General features: G+C 37.8%; 1 protein-coding gene across 22 annotated transcripts; it reads right to left on the bottom strand.

The window, feature by feature from the left end:
• Positions 1-1,483: 1,483 nt before the first annotated feature.
• CCDC196 (coiled-coil domain containing 196) lies at positions 1,484-13,666 on the bottom strand. 22 transcript variants are annotated; one of them, XM_024449601.2, is made up of 13 exons: positions 13,485-13,666; positions 13,228-13,380; positions 11,781-11,877; positions 11,000-11,050; positions 9,218-9,295; positions 8,933-9,016; positions 8,352-8,411; positions 7,843-7,984; positions 7,137-7,225; positions 4,266-4,375; positions 3,170-3,210; positions 1,870-1,928; positions 1,484-1,684 (listed from the first exon to the last, which is right to left on the bottom strand). In XM_024449601.2, exons 1-9 carry the CDS (start codon positions 13,532-13,534, stop codon positions 7,209-7,211), a joined length of 732 nt encoding a protein of 243 aa, XP_024305369.1. In that variant the 5' UTR covers positions 13,535-13,666; the 3' UTR covers positions 1,484-1,684; positions 1,870-1,928; positions 3,170-3,210; positions 4,266-4,375; positions 7,137-7,208. The 22 variants fall into 22 exon arrangements, 19 of the variants coding, with proteins under 19 accessions (XP_024305369.1, XP_024305370.1, XP_024305368.1 ...); XM_024449602.2 differs by having other exon boundaries at positions 4,266-4,367; XM_024449600.2 differs by lacking the exon at positions 4,266-4,375.
• Positions 13,667-16,030: the final 2,364 nt, after the last annotated feature.

Below are 16,030 nucleotides of genomic sequence, written 5' to 3'. Positions count from 1 at the left end.
ACATTTAAAAATTCATATTTAAAATGCATCTTTAAAGATTTAAATTGACATTGAGAAAAAGAAGATTTTGAATTGGCTGGCTCACTTTGCTTATTACCAGAAAGTATGAGGGATTCCTACAGATTATGAAGTGTTTTGTGACAAATCAACTCTTCTATACTGACATGAGATAGGAAATTAATGACAACTTAGAGTGAAAGAAAATATCTGAAGATCTCAGGAACTATGATATAATCCCGTGGTAATTAACACAAGGCAAGACATCGAGAGACCTGGGACTTGGAAATTAACTTTCTGTGGCCTTCTACATATCATTTACTGAGCCTCTTTAAAATGCTAGGCACTGTGTTAAGCAGTCAAAATGAAAAGATAGCAAGATAGAATCCTGGCCCTCAAAGAGCTCACCACCTGATGAGGAAGGTAGCTGGATAAACCAATAATTGCGATAGAGTTCAATTAGTGCTGTGACAGAAGTAAGAGAGCCTAGCAACAAGTCTCAAACCTGATTGCCCATTAGAATTTCTTGAGAAGCTTTTAAAAAATACGGATGCTTTTGCCCTATCGCTCAGTTACCATAATTTAAATTATCAGGGGCGGGGCCCAGTAGAATGCTATTTTTCAAAGCTCTTAAGGGGATTCCAATACACAGCTAGGATTGAGTATCAGTGGGATAGAAGGGCAGCACATTCAGTCCTTAAGACAAACAGGCAATGGTCATAGCTAAAGGAGAGAAGTATCCTTCCACTTTGTGCATGGACCTAATAGAACTAATGATACATGGGGAGAACTGTAAATATTAATAGTAATGTGGAGCTCAATGTGGGATGTATGAGAAAAGGGGGACATAGTGAAAGATGAGACAGAGAAGGTAGGCAGGAGGCATATCATTTATGGTCTGTGAAGGACCTTGGACTTCAGCGAGAAACCAGTAGGGGAATGACATGATCTCATTTATCTTTTATAAAAGATAGCTTCAGTGGTACTGTGGAAGATGAATTAGAGGAACTGGAAGCAGGGGAAACCAATTAAGAGGCTATGGTAATCCAGGCAGGAAGGAGGGCCTGGGGAAAAAAACAAAAACAAAAACAAAACCACAGTGGTACTAGGAAAGTGGATGATATTCAAGGAATAGATAACAAGGAGGCAGAATCAACAGGTCATTTTGATGTTTTTGGTGAGAGAGTAAAAGAAGTCTGTGGTATATAATTTTACTTATTTTATACCTACTTTTTCTCATTTCCCACTGTTGGATCTGTCCACAATTACATACTTCAGAAGTGGAGAGAAGCTCCTTTTTATGGACTTAGTAAAAACATATTGTATAATGTGGTTGAAATGTGGTCATTTCAAATCCAAAAGCTATCAAAATAATCAGAGGTTGTTTACAATCCCTAAATGACTACATTCCATACATGTTTAAGGCCAGACATCCAACATTTCCACCCAGATTGGTCGGGGGAGAGAGGGAAAACAGCACTAAAACAAAGGTGCGAGAGATTTTAATTAACACAAATGGCTGTGCCTAGTCTTTAAATCTGTCCAAAGCAAATGGAGCGAAAGCCTGCTAATTCTTCAGTGCTTCATCTGGCAATGACCTCAGAAAAAAGAGTCTCCCTCCTGTATTATCAAGCTGACTTCCTTTAGTTCCTTGTTGTTCTGTGTAGATCTTTGTTCCCAGAATTCTCTAGACAGGAAAAAACAGAGGAAAAAGGACAGCTAAAATATTGAGTACCCTAGCACCCACTCTGCAAATCCCCTAAAATATTAAATTAGAATATATGTTAAGCAATGCATTCCAAAAATCTATACCCACTATCTATTCAAGCCCTTAAAACGATTTTTTGTTTGTTTAAAGAAAGTAGTTCTCACCACATGGTGTTCATTTCTGCCAGTAGTCACTCTGTCCATAGTTGTAATGCCCATAGTACCTAAGGGGAAACATTAGGAAAATAAGAGCTTCTTTTGAGGGGGAAAAAAAAAAAAAACCACTAGTTTTGTTTTGTTTTGTATCACTGTGGGTATTAGCATTGATGTGAATTTTCTGATTTTTTTTTTTTAGAAAATAACTTTGTCAAACAATATTTCAGAAGTTGGAGTGGCAGACTGTTTTTCTGTTTACAGCTCATGTCCCACAGGGGGAAAAATCATTTAAGAATTATATGCAAGTAAATAAAGAAGTGGAATAATAAGTTATGTGTATATATACATACCCTCAGATAAACCAGATAGATATATTTCACAAAAATGGTCAATTATAGATAGTGGAGAATAAACAAAAGATAAAGGTGAAGATGGGGAAGAGAAAGAGGAAGCAGACAGAATGGTAGGCGTAGGGTGAGAAGGGAGGCAATGAAAAGGAGAAAAAGGGAGAATTATAGGGTGCTAAATACAACCGATAGTGAGTCTGTTCTAAATTAGAGTTGCCAGACTAAAATATGGGACTCCCAGTTAAATTTGAATTTTAATATAAACACCAAATAATTTTTCATATATCTCATGAAATATTTGGGACACACTTATACTAAAAATTATTTGGTGAAATTCAAATTTAATAGGGTATCCCTTTTTATTTGCTAAATATGATAACATTTTCCTAGACATACTGCTGCACTCCTGAGTGTGTGATGCCCACAAATTATGGAATCTGTTGTCACCCATTAAAATAATATTAATAAGGGTACAGTTTATTTTGTCAAGCTTCAAAATTTATATTTAGGAAGAAAAGAATTTTATTCTCCCCCTGAATTTCTGTGAAGTATTAAAGAAGTAAAAGAATGACTTAGTTTAGAAATTAACTTTATAACCTATTAATACCATAAACCTAACTTTGACATTCAAAAGGTTCAGGTTGCCTCAAAGCTTTAAAAAGCCTGTACTTGAAAGCAACAGTACTGCTTATCAAGGACCCGGATTTGAGCTAGCTGTGGTTTTCCGCCCCTGCCCTTCAGCATTTTAGCTTAACACTACTATTTTCCCTTCAGCAGCACCTGCTGAAGTGTAGTTCAGCCATCAGGAAGAATAATACTAAAGTGAAGTAAAGGTTAAAGCCAGGAAGAATGACTTGCTTTCAGAACAGAAGGAGTTAGAGAATAAATAAGGTCTCAAAGAGTATTCATTTCCCATTTCGCTGGGCTTTCATCTGAATTTATAAGTGTAGCATAATACTCACATCCAACGTTCAGGTTTTTCTCAGAAGAGCTCAAGGAAATGCTAAGAGTTGGTGGGGATTGAGGGGAGGAGAGAAAAGCAAAGCTATCAGAATCAAATGTCTTAACACAAGTTATATTATTGCTGAAGATAAACCTCTTCTTTAAACACCAGCAGATATGATGGGAAATTCAGTTGAATTTAGAGATTGCTTAGCACCTGTGCTCTCTAAGATAGGTGACTGCCAAAGTCCACAAACTTGCCTTCTGGACTCTATAGAAGTTAGGGAGGGCCTACAATACACCCTGAATCAAATTATAATTTTACACTGGTGGAAAAGTAAATCCTTTCAAATGTCACCTGTCTCCGGAAAGATCAAAAGTAAAGACTTCATCGTAGGTATAAACAGACTAAGTGAGGCAGCATGCCAAAGAGATAACATGGATGACGGTAATGCCACATCCTGGGCATCAAGGGAATTCACAAGTAGGGATTTGTTGAAGTGTAACAAAATCAGTAATATTAACACAGGATTGTATTTTGCCAGCTACACAGATCATACCACTGCAACTCAGCCAACCAGCACATCGGACAGTGGGAGGAGGAATTCTTGGCTAAGAGTACTGAGGTAAACTCTTCATCTACTTGGAAATGCTTAGAACAGAAAAGCCTGTACCCTGATTTACTGAGAGGTGTGTCCAAAATTATATTCCACCCTTTCTCTAAGACAGGTTTGTGCAATTCAATTCTTTTGAAACTAGAGAAAAAGAAACGCTGTCCTGTAACACTGTTAAGTATACAAACTTCAAATAAGCACCATCTTTTATTTTTTGTTTAGTGCTCATTTTTTCTTTTAGTGCCCCAATCGCCTGATTTATCTGTGGTGGAAGGGAACACTATTCTACAAGGATTGTGGAGGAAGTGGGCAGTGACTGTTTTTTGAAATGGAGATAACTGTAGTACAGGGAGTAAAATACTAGGTAAAAATTATGCAACAGAACACTGAGTTTAACATGGTCTAATCAAGGCTGCCAGTAATACACCTTGGTGCCAAAAGAGCATGTGATAAAACATCAAGAAATTTTTTTCTTTTTTCATTTGATACATGAATGTGGCACCTTTTGTCCTGAGAGTAATAGAAGACCGATCTCTCCCACAGCATTTCATGGTTCCTGAATTACCACTCTGTGGACTTGAAGCCTGGATGTGGTTGGTGCCACCTACTGGGCTAAATGCAGAGTTAACATTTTCTTACTGAACAAATTAACCTTAGGAGTATGCTTCTTCACTGAGAAGATTATACGTTAAACAGATAATAAATTTGGATTCAAATTATAGCGTTTAGATCTAGAAGAGGCATGAAAAGTCACATGCTTTTACACATCCATTTTGTAGCATAGTCTAGGGAATAAGGATTGAATATGGAGCCAAGAAGCCTGGCTTCTCTGAGCTTGTTTCTTGTTCTATAATACCTTTCATAGAGTCACTGTGAGGGTTGCACAAGGTATTAAGTTCTCAGCATGCTCCATGTTAATGTTGTTTGTATTTTTAAAACCTGAAATTAAATGACTTTTCCAAGTCATATAACTGGTGAGCCTCAGAGGAAGGCCTGCAACTCATGTATCTGAGTCTTAAATTCAGTGCTTTTTTCCTTAAATTACAATTTGCCAAAATTTGATGATGAGATGATTTTAGGTGGCAATTGGGATAAATTTCGGTGTTGGGACAAGGCATTAAATACTATAAATCACAGTGAGAAAATTATTGCCTTTTCAATTATTTCAAACTTGATGGCATCAAGGAGAAAGTTGCAGTTTGGTGCTGGCTTTCTTTAAAGTTCTCTATGTCTTTTTTTTTTTTTTTTGATACGAAGTCTCGCTCTGTCACCTAGGCTGGAGTGCAGTGGCGTCATCGCAGCTCACTGTAACCTCTGCCTCCCAGGTTCAAGCGATTCTCCTGCCTCAGCCTCCTGAGTATCTGGGACTATAGGTGTGTGCCACCACACCTGGCTAATTTTCTGTATTTTGTTGTAGAGATGGGGTTTCACCATGTTAACCAGGATTGTCTCAATCTCCTGACCGCGTGATCCACCTGCCTCAGCCTCCCAAAGTGCTGGGATTACAGGCGTGAGCCACCATGCCTGGCCAAAATTCTGTATGTCTTTCTAATCTCACTTCCTAATGGAGATAAAATAGATCTCAGGCTTATGTATTTTTCTAGAACATTAAAATCTTGTTTTTTGTGTATTTATTATTAAGTTTACCTTCTATTGTGGAAAACTCTATTGATTCTTCATTTAAAATAGTAATATAAATTTTATTTTCAAGGAATGCATTTAGGAAACTAAAGAAGTCAATGTAAACAACAAATATTGAATAAATAATAGTCCAGGTGATACACAAAGTTGGAAAATACTACAACACCTACCATTAAGAAATTATTACCAAATAGGTTGGTAATAACCTCTTTACATAATTAGTTTTAAAATCCTTTATGAAGAGAATATTTGTTTGCTTTTAAATAATCAAATACTAGAGGTGAAAAAATAGGCCACATAACCAAAATATAGGACTCCATTAGATTTCAAATCCACTTGGGCTCAAACAAACCTATAGAGTTTGAATACATGTGTTAGAAAATGAAACTGGCCCATAATTAGTGCTAAATGAATGCAGAATCAATTTAACACATTGATCCATTGCCTGTGGCTACATTAATTTGTGGTAACTAAGCCGTATAGTACCCTATCATTTAATTCTCCAGGAACATAAAAGGAAAGGAGAGAAAAGAAGATGTGGATCTGTGGCTGTTCCAATTCAAAGTTGATTCAATGTTTTACATGCAAGGAGAAAAAATATCTCCTGAGACAATCAAGTTGAATGGAACCCTTATTTACTAATTTAGACTTAATTTGATTCTGGAGCTAAAAAGCTTTTGGCTCTTTACCATATAGATCCCTTGAGATGACCTTCAGCTAATTTTGAATGAAGTAAAACAGGGACTTGTCTGTCTTCCTCATAACCCTCTTCTCTTCTGTCTTTTAAATTTGTATCTTAATGATTTAATACTGCTTCTTGTTGCATTCCAGGATTCTTTCCAATTTTATGCTGTCCAATTCTTATTAGAACATAAATTGAAAGAAAAATATGCATAGAATACTGCCTGAAGGATAGTCAGTTCAGTCTTACTAGTTTTCTAAAATTTACCTATGGATCAAGCCAGACCAGAGAGTCTTATGTACCTGAATCAAATCATCTTGAGGTGATTTGTCACTTAAAATAAATTTCAGATTAATATCTTTTTATCAGATTATGCCAAAGAACAGAGGAGAAACAACCTAGGAAATTTAGATTCTGAATTTATTTTGAAATATTGTTGAAGACATTGGCGACTATCATCACACAAACAATGTCCTGCCCCCATTATATGGACCTGGAGGAGAAATTTCTCTCAGATTTCAACACCAGGAAAAACTATGTTTCTCCTGAGCAATTGGTTTGTTGTTACTTCATGAGTTTCATAAATCCATGTTTCTTTTTACTGGAAAATTCAGAACCAAATTTGTAGCCTACCTCTGCCAGCTGTACAGTACTCTCATTATGCATTCTTGTGTATTTGCCCGGCTTCAACTTATTTTCCCTTTTCTTTGATTTACTCATATATTTATTTAACCCTATGTGTTGACTGTGATTTTTGTAAGCTGTTTAAGCGCTTTACAGAATAAGACTAAGAAATTAGAAACATACATACTGATACTGATAGAACATTGTCATCCCTTGGCCATGATTTCCCATCTCGTGTCCTTTTTGAAAAATGGAGTTCATATTCATAGATACTTGAAAATTTAAGAACTTTTTCCCTGTCCTCAGAGCCATCTCTATATTCTATTTTTTAAATGAACTATATTATTTTCTCTAATATTGCCGTAAATTCTGTGGGGAAATCGCTGAAACTCTCAGAGGGACAACTGGATTGACAAAATTCACAACCTTTGTCAGATGTCTGTCTCCTTGGCCTTCTGCTTTGAAGTAGCAGAGTCTATTCCAGCAAGATTAATAAGATTAAACAATTCTAATTCCTAGAAAAGGGGATGAGGTGGAAAGGAAACATATTTTATTGAGTGCTAGCTATATATCAGCTACATATGCTAAGTATGTAATATATTACTTTATCTTTACAAAGGAAAACAGTTCTCCCAGAGAGAATCTTTGCCTTAGTAAAGAAGCTTCTGAGTCATAAAAATGATGATAGGCCGGGCGTGGTGGCTCACACCTGTAATCCCAGCACTTTGGGAGGCCAAGGCAGGTGGATCACGAGGTCAGGAGTTCAAGACCAGCCTGGCCAACATGGTGAAACCCCGTCTCTACTAAAAATACAAAAATTAGCTGGGCATGGTGGTGCGTGCCTGTAATCCCAGCTACTCGGAAGGCTGAGGCAGGAGAATTGCTTGAACTGGGACCCGGGAGGCAGAGGTAGCAGTGAGCTGAGATCGCACCACTGCACTCCAGCCTGGGCAACAGAGCCAGACTCTGTCTCAAAAAAAAAAAAAAGATAATGAAAAAATTAATTACTGTACTACTAACATTTAACTTACTGTGTGCCAGGCATTGTGTTGCTCACTTTACAAGTAAAGGTCTCCAATATAAAATAAACAAAACAAAACCTCAAACTGTGTACCTGGGATATTCTACCTACCTTGGGACCCAGGAAGATTTAAAAATGCTTGCATTGGCTCAAAATTCTGCTGCAAATACAGTGATAATTTCAGGTCATTGGCCTTCTGGTAGTTCTTCAAGGCTTCAATTCTCAGCTCAATCACTTTGCCATGAAAATCATTCTGAAAGAGAATATTTTCCAAAACTACACATATAGGATTGGCTTCTCTGAATCCATTGTTACCTGAATCCTCTTTACCCAGAAGTTAAAAAGTAATTCCATCATGCTCAGTCTTTAAAAGTTGGGTAGAAAGTATTTGTGATTTTTCCCCATTTAGAATAGAACGAAATCAAGAATATAGGAAGAAATACCATTTATTCCAAGTTCAGAGATAGGTCCCTTCAGCTATCTTTCTATGATACATTTGTTTTAGCAGGGCAATCGGTAATCTAGGATGTGGGGACTGGGCTTCACAATATGCAGCTAAAAGCCTTTGTATTATATGAATGAAATTGCATCCTATATCCAGCCTTGGAAGATCTTAGTACCTGAAGGATGTTATTTTGTTCCTGATACTTGACCCATTCCATTTTCCTCTGTTGCTTTTCCTGGTGGAAGAAAGAGCCTCTGGGTGACAAAGTAAATTGAGATCAGCAATCAGTTTTCTCAATATGCTGCAAAAGCCTTATAGCAAAATTATAGTGTCGCAGATTTACTATTAAATTGACTTTAACTGCACAATTCTCTTAATTGGCCTCAACTGTACAAGCCATCCTCTAAAAGCTAATGAATAGGGTTATTTTATGTTGGTGAGTTGGTTATGGGAAGATGAGATACCAGCATACTACCACTGAATACATTTTCAAAGACAAATGAACGGAAGTTCTGACATCATTTAGCTGTTGCAGAGTTATCATTGTTGGTATAGCTTCTCTCACTTTTTCGTAATATGATTTCCCAGAAACTTGTGATATCACTCTAACTCAAATATAGTAACACAAGGGAACCAAATCTATAAAAATTGGCATTGGTCCAAGAGCACACCATACCTTAGGCAAATTACTACAACATTAAAGATTTCTAGTTTACTAGCTCTAAAAGCCACTGCCATTCAGAATGGCTGTACTACCTTCCTTATCTCCTTCACTTTCTCTGCAAATGATTTCTCCAGTTCACTCTCAGTCTTCCTAGGTGATGAGGGGGATTTGGGAGCCTGGGATGAAAGAAGAGAGCTAAAGGAATAAGAGGTCCTAGGAAAGAAGTGCAATGTCTCAGCAGGCCATAAATCTAATAAACCCTAAAAACCCAGATCCTACCTATCTGCCTACCCAAATTAGCCCTGATTGTCAGCAGGCTGTTTCCAGCTGTGTGACATCGACAATCTTGAAATTTTAAGTACATGCAGTCCACTTGCCTTTCCATCCTGCAAGTCTGCCTTGTTTTTTGTCTGTGGTGCTTTTTGTTGATCACTAAGTTCTTCTGCCTCGAATGTCTGTGGAAAGACATTTTGGCAAAGCTTTAAAGTAGTGGAAATTAAAGAGGGAAGTGGAAAACCAATATGGGTCAAGGTTTTGGTTCCTGCCAGTCAGCAGCTTCTCAGGGCCTGGCATGAAAAGTGTACTACCAAAGGGAGTTGAGAATGTAATGAGCCCTTCCTTTCATTCAGTCCCTTGAGTGTACCTTATAGGAATGAAAACTATTAGCTGGACCCTTAGCCAGTCACTACTCTAAGCTACTTACTGCATTACTCTGCTTATTTTCCTTACTGTACTGTATTGCAGACATTCTCATTTAATCCTCACAATTCTTTGAGGACCATTTTTATTTCCATATTATAGATGAGAAACCTGAGACTTGGAGAGGTTATTTGTTTAGGGTTACACAACTAGGAAAGTACAGAGTTGGAATTTGAACCAGATCTTTCTGATTCTGAAGCCTGTGTTCTTGACCACTAGGCATGCTGTTCTTCTAAAATATGAGTAGGGAAAGTTGATCACAGGTTAAGTGTATAGATGTCCCTTTTGAGAGCTCTGTAGAAGCTGGATTTAGATAGAGGAATTGTGCTGGCACATTTCCTATTACGAGGACTCAAGAACCCAGGAACTAAAACTTCTGGAAATTCATAGAACTAATTTGTAACTGCCCACGAGAACCTGGAGCAGATCTCAATACAAGATGCAGGGCTTGAAGGTATTCTGATTATTTGTGGAAAAGTCAGATGAAAAAAAAAGACAGAGATCACACTATATATCTGTTTATATCACAAGACACAGTCTACTCTTCTAGTTGCATAGTCTGTAAAGAAGCACTTGGGTCCCAAGGGATTAGTCTTGGACAAAGTCTCGGACAAGGGACAAAGGAATTCCCTGTCCCCTTCCCCCTACTCCCTGGCTCTGGTTTCCCAGCAAAAGGCCCTAATATTGTTATCTTAAACAATGTGGTGATTGCTGTAAAATTATAAGGGTATTGGAATTAGGTATTCATTTGTTTATTCATCCAACTTACATGTATTGATTCTCTACTATGTTCCAAGCATTGTGCTAGGAGCTATAGATTTGGACAAAGCAATCAAGATATTGAAGGAGCTTGAGAAGATACAGGAGGAGGCAGGGAAACAAGAAACAATTTAAAAAGTAATAATAATACAATAATAATAATTTTATATTATAAACAGTGCTATTGAGCACATAAGCAGAGTTATATAATAGAAAAGGGGAGGAGGATGCCCTACTTTAGATGGAGCAAACAAGGATGGCTTCTCTAAGGAGATGACATTTAAGCTGAGACCTGAAGGATGAGAATGAGCCAACCATGAGAAAATAGCATTACAGGCAGTGGAGAAGGCAAGAGCAAAGTCCTTGAGATAGGAAAAAGCTTGGCATGTTTGAGAAACCACAAGAAGCCAGTGGCATGGTTGCATAGAAAGCAAGGGAAGGACATCTATGAGAGGAAACTGGAGAATAGGCAAGAGCCAGATTATGCCACAATTAGTGGCTGTAAAGGTTTTTCATAAGAAGAGTAACATGCTTTGATTGTTTTAAAAAGATCACCTTGGCTGCTGTGTAGAGAATGGATTGGAATGAGGCATGGGTGGAAGCAAGGACATGAAACAATGAGGATGGGGGCCAGAGGAAAGGGAGGTTCTTTGCGTTGTGATCTGTAGGACAATACTTTCAATAGATCCTTAGAGGCACACCTTGTTCCATAGCATCTCCATTTCCTTCCGAAGCATCTTGTTTTTCCTTTCCTGTTGGAGGGGGAAGAACCAAACAAACAGAAGCATGTATTTGTCCAGCCATTGAAGTGGGTTTGGAAGAAGTTACTAAGTAATAGTGGAAAAAGGGTCCAGGGACATAGTAAACCACAGAGGAAGGCAATGAATGGGTCTAATCCCAAATCCAGGAGCATAAGAGATGTTTGATGATGATGATGGTAAAAAAAAAACCAAGTTATTGTTTTAAGTAATAACTTTAATTATAATAATTGTGAGACAGTATCTATAGAAATGAGTTCCTAACACTTAAGATGCTCTTATGTGGCCATTTCTTGGGGGCTTAGACCACTAATTTTTAATTTTTAAGATCCTTTACATTGCTGATTGAAAGAAAATCTTGTAAGAATCCTGCAGAGCAAACTATTTCTTTTCTTTTACTTTGATAGGTATTTTCTATTCTTTATAGCAAATATTTTACTATTCTTTCTGAAATGTGAAGAGTTAATATGGTTATATTCATTAATTCCCTAGATAAAAAGTTTTTAAAAGTCAAAGAATAGAATTTTTGCTTGCTAGTCGTGTTCTTCCCAACATTCCATCTGACTCCTTTTGGGTCACCCTGGACTTTCTAGATCAAGGAGATATGAGTGTTGGAGCATCAGATGCTAGAGATGAGTACTCTGTCTTTCTCTCCACATCTGACACTGCAATGGAATTGAGCCCTATTCAGGAGGCTGTTCCTGGAGTCCCTCCTACTTCTTACCAAGTTCTGTTTCATCTCCTCTGCTTCCTTAAGGAGCTCCATGACCGAGGATTCCTCACACCCCTTCCCTGCCATGATCTGTCTCATGATCTGAAGACTAGAAGAAAGAGAGGCATCATAAAACATACATACCTCCTTAAGGGTAATACTGATGTTCTGCAACTAGTCAGAAAGTACTCTACCATGAAAGTTAGATGGCGACTGAAATATCAGGAGTTATGGAAGCCCTTCTGGTCATAGAAGATCTCTGTAACTAAGATGTTTCCATTTCTAATTGACATTTGCCTATCTATGTGCTCTAGAATGAATTCTGTGCTCTTTAATGCTTAAAACTTAGGTCTCCAACAGCCAGGGAGAGTCCTTTCCACCCCCTCAGAAGAATGTTGCAGTGTGTGACTTTTGGGAGAAGAAGGGGTAATTCTGCCCCCTTTATAAGAAGAGGTTGAAGAACCTGCTATCTTCTAGGATAAATCCCAGAGTTATTTCCTAACCCATCTCTGTCCTCTGTCCACTTTCTCCCACTTCCTTGCTTCTTCCTATGAGGACATTTGAGTCTATTGGGGAAGTCACTGATATCCTTTCATAGCCCCAGAGAATGCAAGCCATTAAGAAGTTCTAACAAAATCTAAATCAAAATCAAGTCCTTGTGAGAGAGGATATTCCTTAAAGGCATAAATTATTTTATATTTGTGTTCTTGTACTTTTTTCTCCCCAGTTCTAAGCGAAGAACACAATTCTAAGACTTTGTGTTTTCTTGCTCTGAGAGAAGTCTATTTTGCTGAGTTGTAAGCAGCTGGTGCTTGTTGCTGAGTTGTAAGCAGCTGGTGCTTGACCACAACTTTCTGCCTGCGTTTTGTTCTCCAAAAATATGAGTCCTTTGAGATGCTTATGATAAGGGTATAGAATAAAGATAGACTCACTGAGGAGAGAGGTTCTGAGACTAGAAAGGAAACAGAGTTTGTGGGTCCCAAGTACAGTGAGTGCTCTGGTAAAGAGTTAAGACTTCAGCTGCCTAGTATATTTAGAGAGGCTGTGCCCTAATTCAGAGGGCTCCTAGGCTTAGAAAATACTGCCATTCCACTGCTTGGCATAGAAAGAGCAGAGTTATTTATTCTAAAGTGATCATGCATAAGAAAGCATCTGTGTGACCGTGGTAAACTAATGCTATTAAAAGCGTTTCACTATTTCTTGGGTGGGCAGCCTGGGGAGGAAGAGTTATAACTAGCCCCACGAAATGAGGGCTGAGTCATATTTAATTTACTAAAAGAAAATAAAGGATTTGTTGTCACCCTGACTTGGTAGTTACAAATTGTTTGCCTGCTACAGCTGAATGTCCAAACCTTTAGTAATTAACAAAAAAAAAAATTGTAAGTAATTATTGCCAGTCCTTTGGAGATCAAGTTCTCCAGCCTTTTTACCTCTAGGAATCCAGAGTAAGAGCCCGTACCTCCTTTGTTTTTCCTCCAAGTTAGACATTAACTTTTGAAATAAGAGGTTGTTTTTATCTTCTAGAGGTTTGAGCATCTCTAGCAGTTCCTGCTTCCTTAGCTTTAAGTCCTCATTCAATTCCTTCAAGTAGTTGTCATCTATTTTAGAACTTCTGTGGGAAGAGGCACAATAATATCTGCCTTTAGCCTGGGTTGAGAGAGAGAGAGAGAGAGAGAGACCCTCTTTTCTATTCAGCATTTTCCATCAAAGACTCACCTTATTTCTGAGGGCAGGTAAGATCCTGAAGAGTTTGCACCACTTGTCATCTTGAAGGGTAACTTCTAAGAATAAAGAGGCCTTCCTGAAAATATGTGCCTTTTTTTCTATCCAGTTAAGTCATTATTTTTGTGCTGCTGTTCTTGAAACTCCTGCTGCAGTGGACTGATCTTAGCTACAGCGAGGTCACAATGGCCCTAATACCACATAATCAACAGGTCTTTAAAGTAATTTCAACATCAATGGCAGTTTGTTGACTGGAAATACTAACTACATCTGATCAGTTCTTGCCTTAGATCTAGCCAAATGACAAAGTTTTATTCTGAAGTCTTTGAATGAATAGGATGGAATCACATCATATCTACTTTTGTGTTAGAAAATGTTGGACTGTCAAAAACGACTCATCAACACCTTCTTTCATGGCAACAAACCTCTGTGAAATGCCACTATCTGTAGAGCACAGTGACAGAGTCTGCAAATGAAGAAAAGATAAAGACACAGCATATACCTTTTGGGGGCCTCAAGAGGAAGAAGGAATACTTCTAAGAGACTTTTTTTTAAAAGAGATCAAACTGGCAAATACAGGGTATGGATATAATAGAATAATATAATATATAAGCCACTGTCATTATTTTTCAATCTTTAAAATTTGATATTATCATAATGGCAGGTAAAAGAATATTGGACATGTAGGAAGAGGATTTAATTTGTGAAAGATCCATATCGTCAGTATGTCCTTCCATAACCACACTCTTCCCTGAAAGATTGTGTAATAATTCTAGCCTCCCTTCAGGATTTTCTGGTTCTGCTTCTATTTTCTTTTTTATTACATTTCTTTTACTACATTTCTTTTGGACCTTAAGATCTCTTGTCTTCATCTATGTCACTTATTGGAAGGTAACCCAGTTATACATTTGTTTTTTTTTCATGCCTTTTAAACACAGTTTTAGAGAAGTATTTTTAGTGAAGGTCTCAAAGTGAGTTAAGTCATGTCAATGTCAAGTACTAACTGAACACTTCCAGCCATTTTCTAGGGGTGTTCTCCAAAGTAACTTAACCCCTTTATGTTGTGGGAAACATTAAAGGGAGAGTATTATAATGGAAATAACACAAGATTTAGTTTGTCAGACTTTGGTTTGGATCTCAGCTTCACTGTGCATAGTGAGCTGCTTGTGAGCAAGTTACTAAATTTTCTGAGTCTCAGTTTCTGCTTTTGTAAAAGTGAGAAAGGTAATATCGACCTGATAGGTTCGTTGTGAGTATGAAATGTATTATGTACAGAGCTTGGTTCATGTTAGATGTTCCCATTTTAGTGAGTTTGTGTTTATTTGGTTTGGGTTTTAGGATTGCTTAATGCCTCAGTTAAGTGGTCAGATACAGAAAGGGTGATTTATATGAGGCTAATGAAACTTAAACTTTAGAGCCCTTTATTTTCACAGACCTCTTCCAAAGGCCCTGAACCTCATTTTGTATTCGTAATTTTGTATTCTTTTTTGGAAAGACAGACCACTCCAAATTATGTGTTTTAGGGGCCCACAAAACAAAGATCTGCTTCTGGTTAAATAGGATACATAGCTCTCCTAAGTATCCTCTACATCAAAACTTCTTTGGTAGTCTCTACACATACTTCTCTTTTTTTTGAGGCAGAGTGTTGCTCTGTTGCCCAGGCTGGAGTGCAGTGGCACAGTCTCAGCTCACTGCAACCTCCACCTCCCGAGTTTAAGCGATTCTCGTGCCTCAGCCTCCTGAGTAGCTGGGATTACAGGTGTGCACCATCACACCCAGCTAATTTTTGTATTTTTAATAGAAATGGGGTTTCACCTTCTTAGCCAGGCTAGTCTCAAACTCCTGACCTCAAATGATCCACCTGCCTTAGCCTCCCAAAATGCTTGGATTACAAGTGTGAGCCACCATGCCTGGCCTACAAATACCTTTACAACATATATATGTCACTTGTAAGTTTTGGATGATACCTGGTGTAATATGATGTTAAATTAGGACAGCCATATCAAATCATATATAATTCACATTGGTTGCCCTAGGAATTTCCATGAAAAGTTTGGATTGAATGAGGGTGAGAAAACGCCTCACAGTTAAAAAAAAGAAACTGGTTGGATGAATTATCATTAGTAGCATCTTTGACTGCATATGTGACAGGTGGTAGCAAATAGTAGAGGACAAAAATGGCATTGATCGCTAAAGTATTGCCTCTCTAAATTTCATGTTGTGATACTTGGTTGGCAGAACTATGATAGAATTTTGAAACATTTAATGGGCAGTAGCAGCCCAACTTACCTTCATTTCTGTTCTTGATTATGAATGATTCAAAGAGGAAGAGCACTTGCTATATATATATATATATATATATATATATATTTTTTTTTTTTTTTTTTTTTTTTTTGAGATGGAGTTTTGTTCTTGTTGCCCAGGCTGGAGTGCAGTGGTGCAATCTCGGCTCACTGCAGCCTCCGACTCCCGATTTCAAGTGATTCTCCTGCCTCAGCCCCCCAAGTAGCTGGGATTTCAGGCATGAGCCCCTGCGCCAG

Source organism: Homo sapiens, chromosome 14 (genome assembly GCF_000001405.40).
Source record: "Homo sapiens chromosome 14, GRCh38.p14 Primary Assembly".
Classification (NCBI taxonomy): Eukaryota; Metazoa; Chordata; class Mammalia; order Primates; family Hominidae; genus Homo; species Homo sapiens.
The sequence above is the reverse complement of the archived record's forward strand: the minus strand, read 5'-3'. Positions and strand labels throughout refer to the sequence as shown.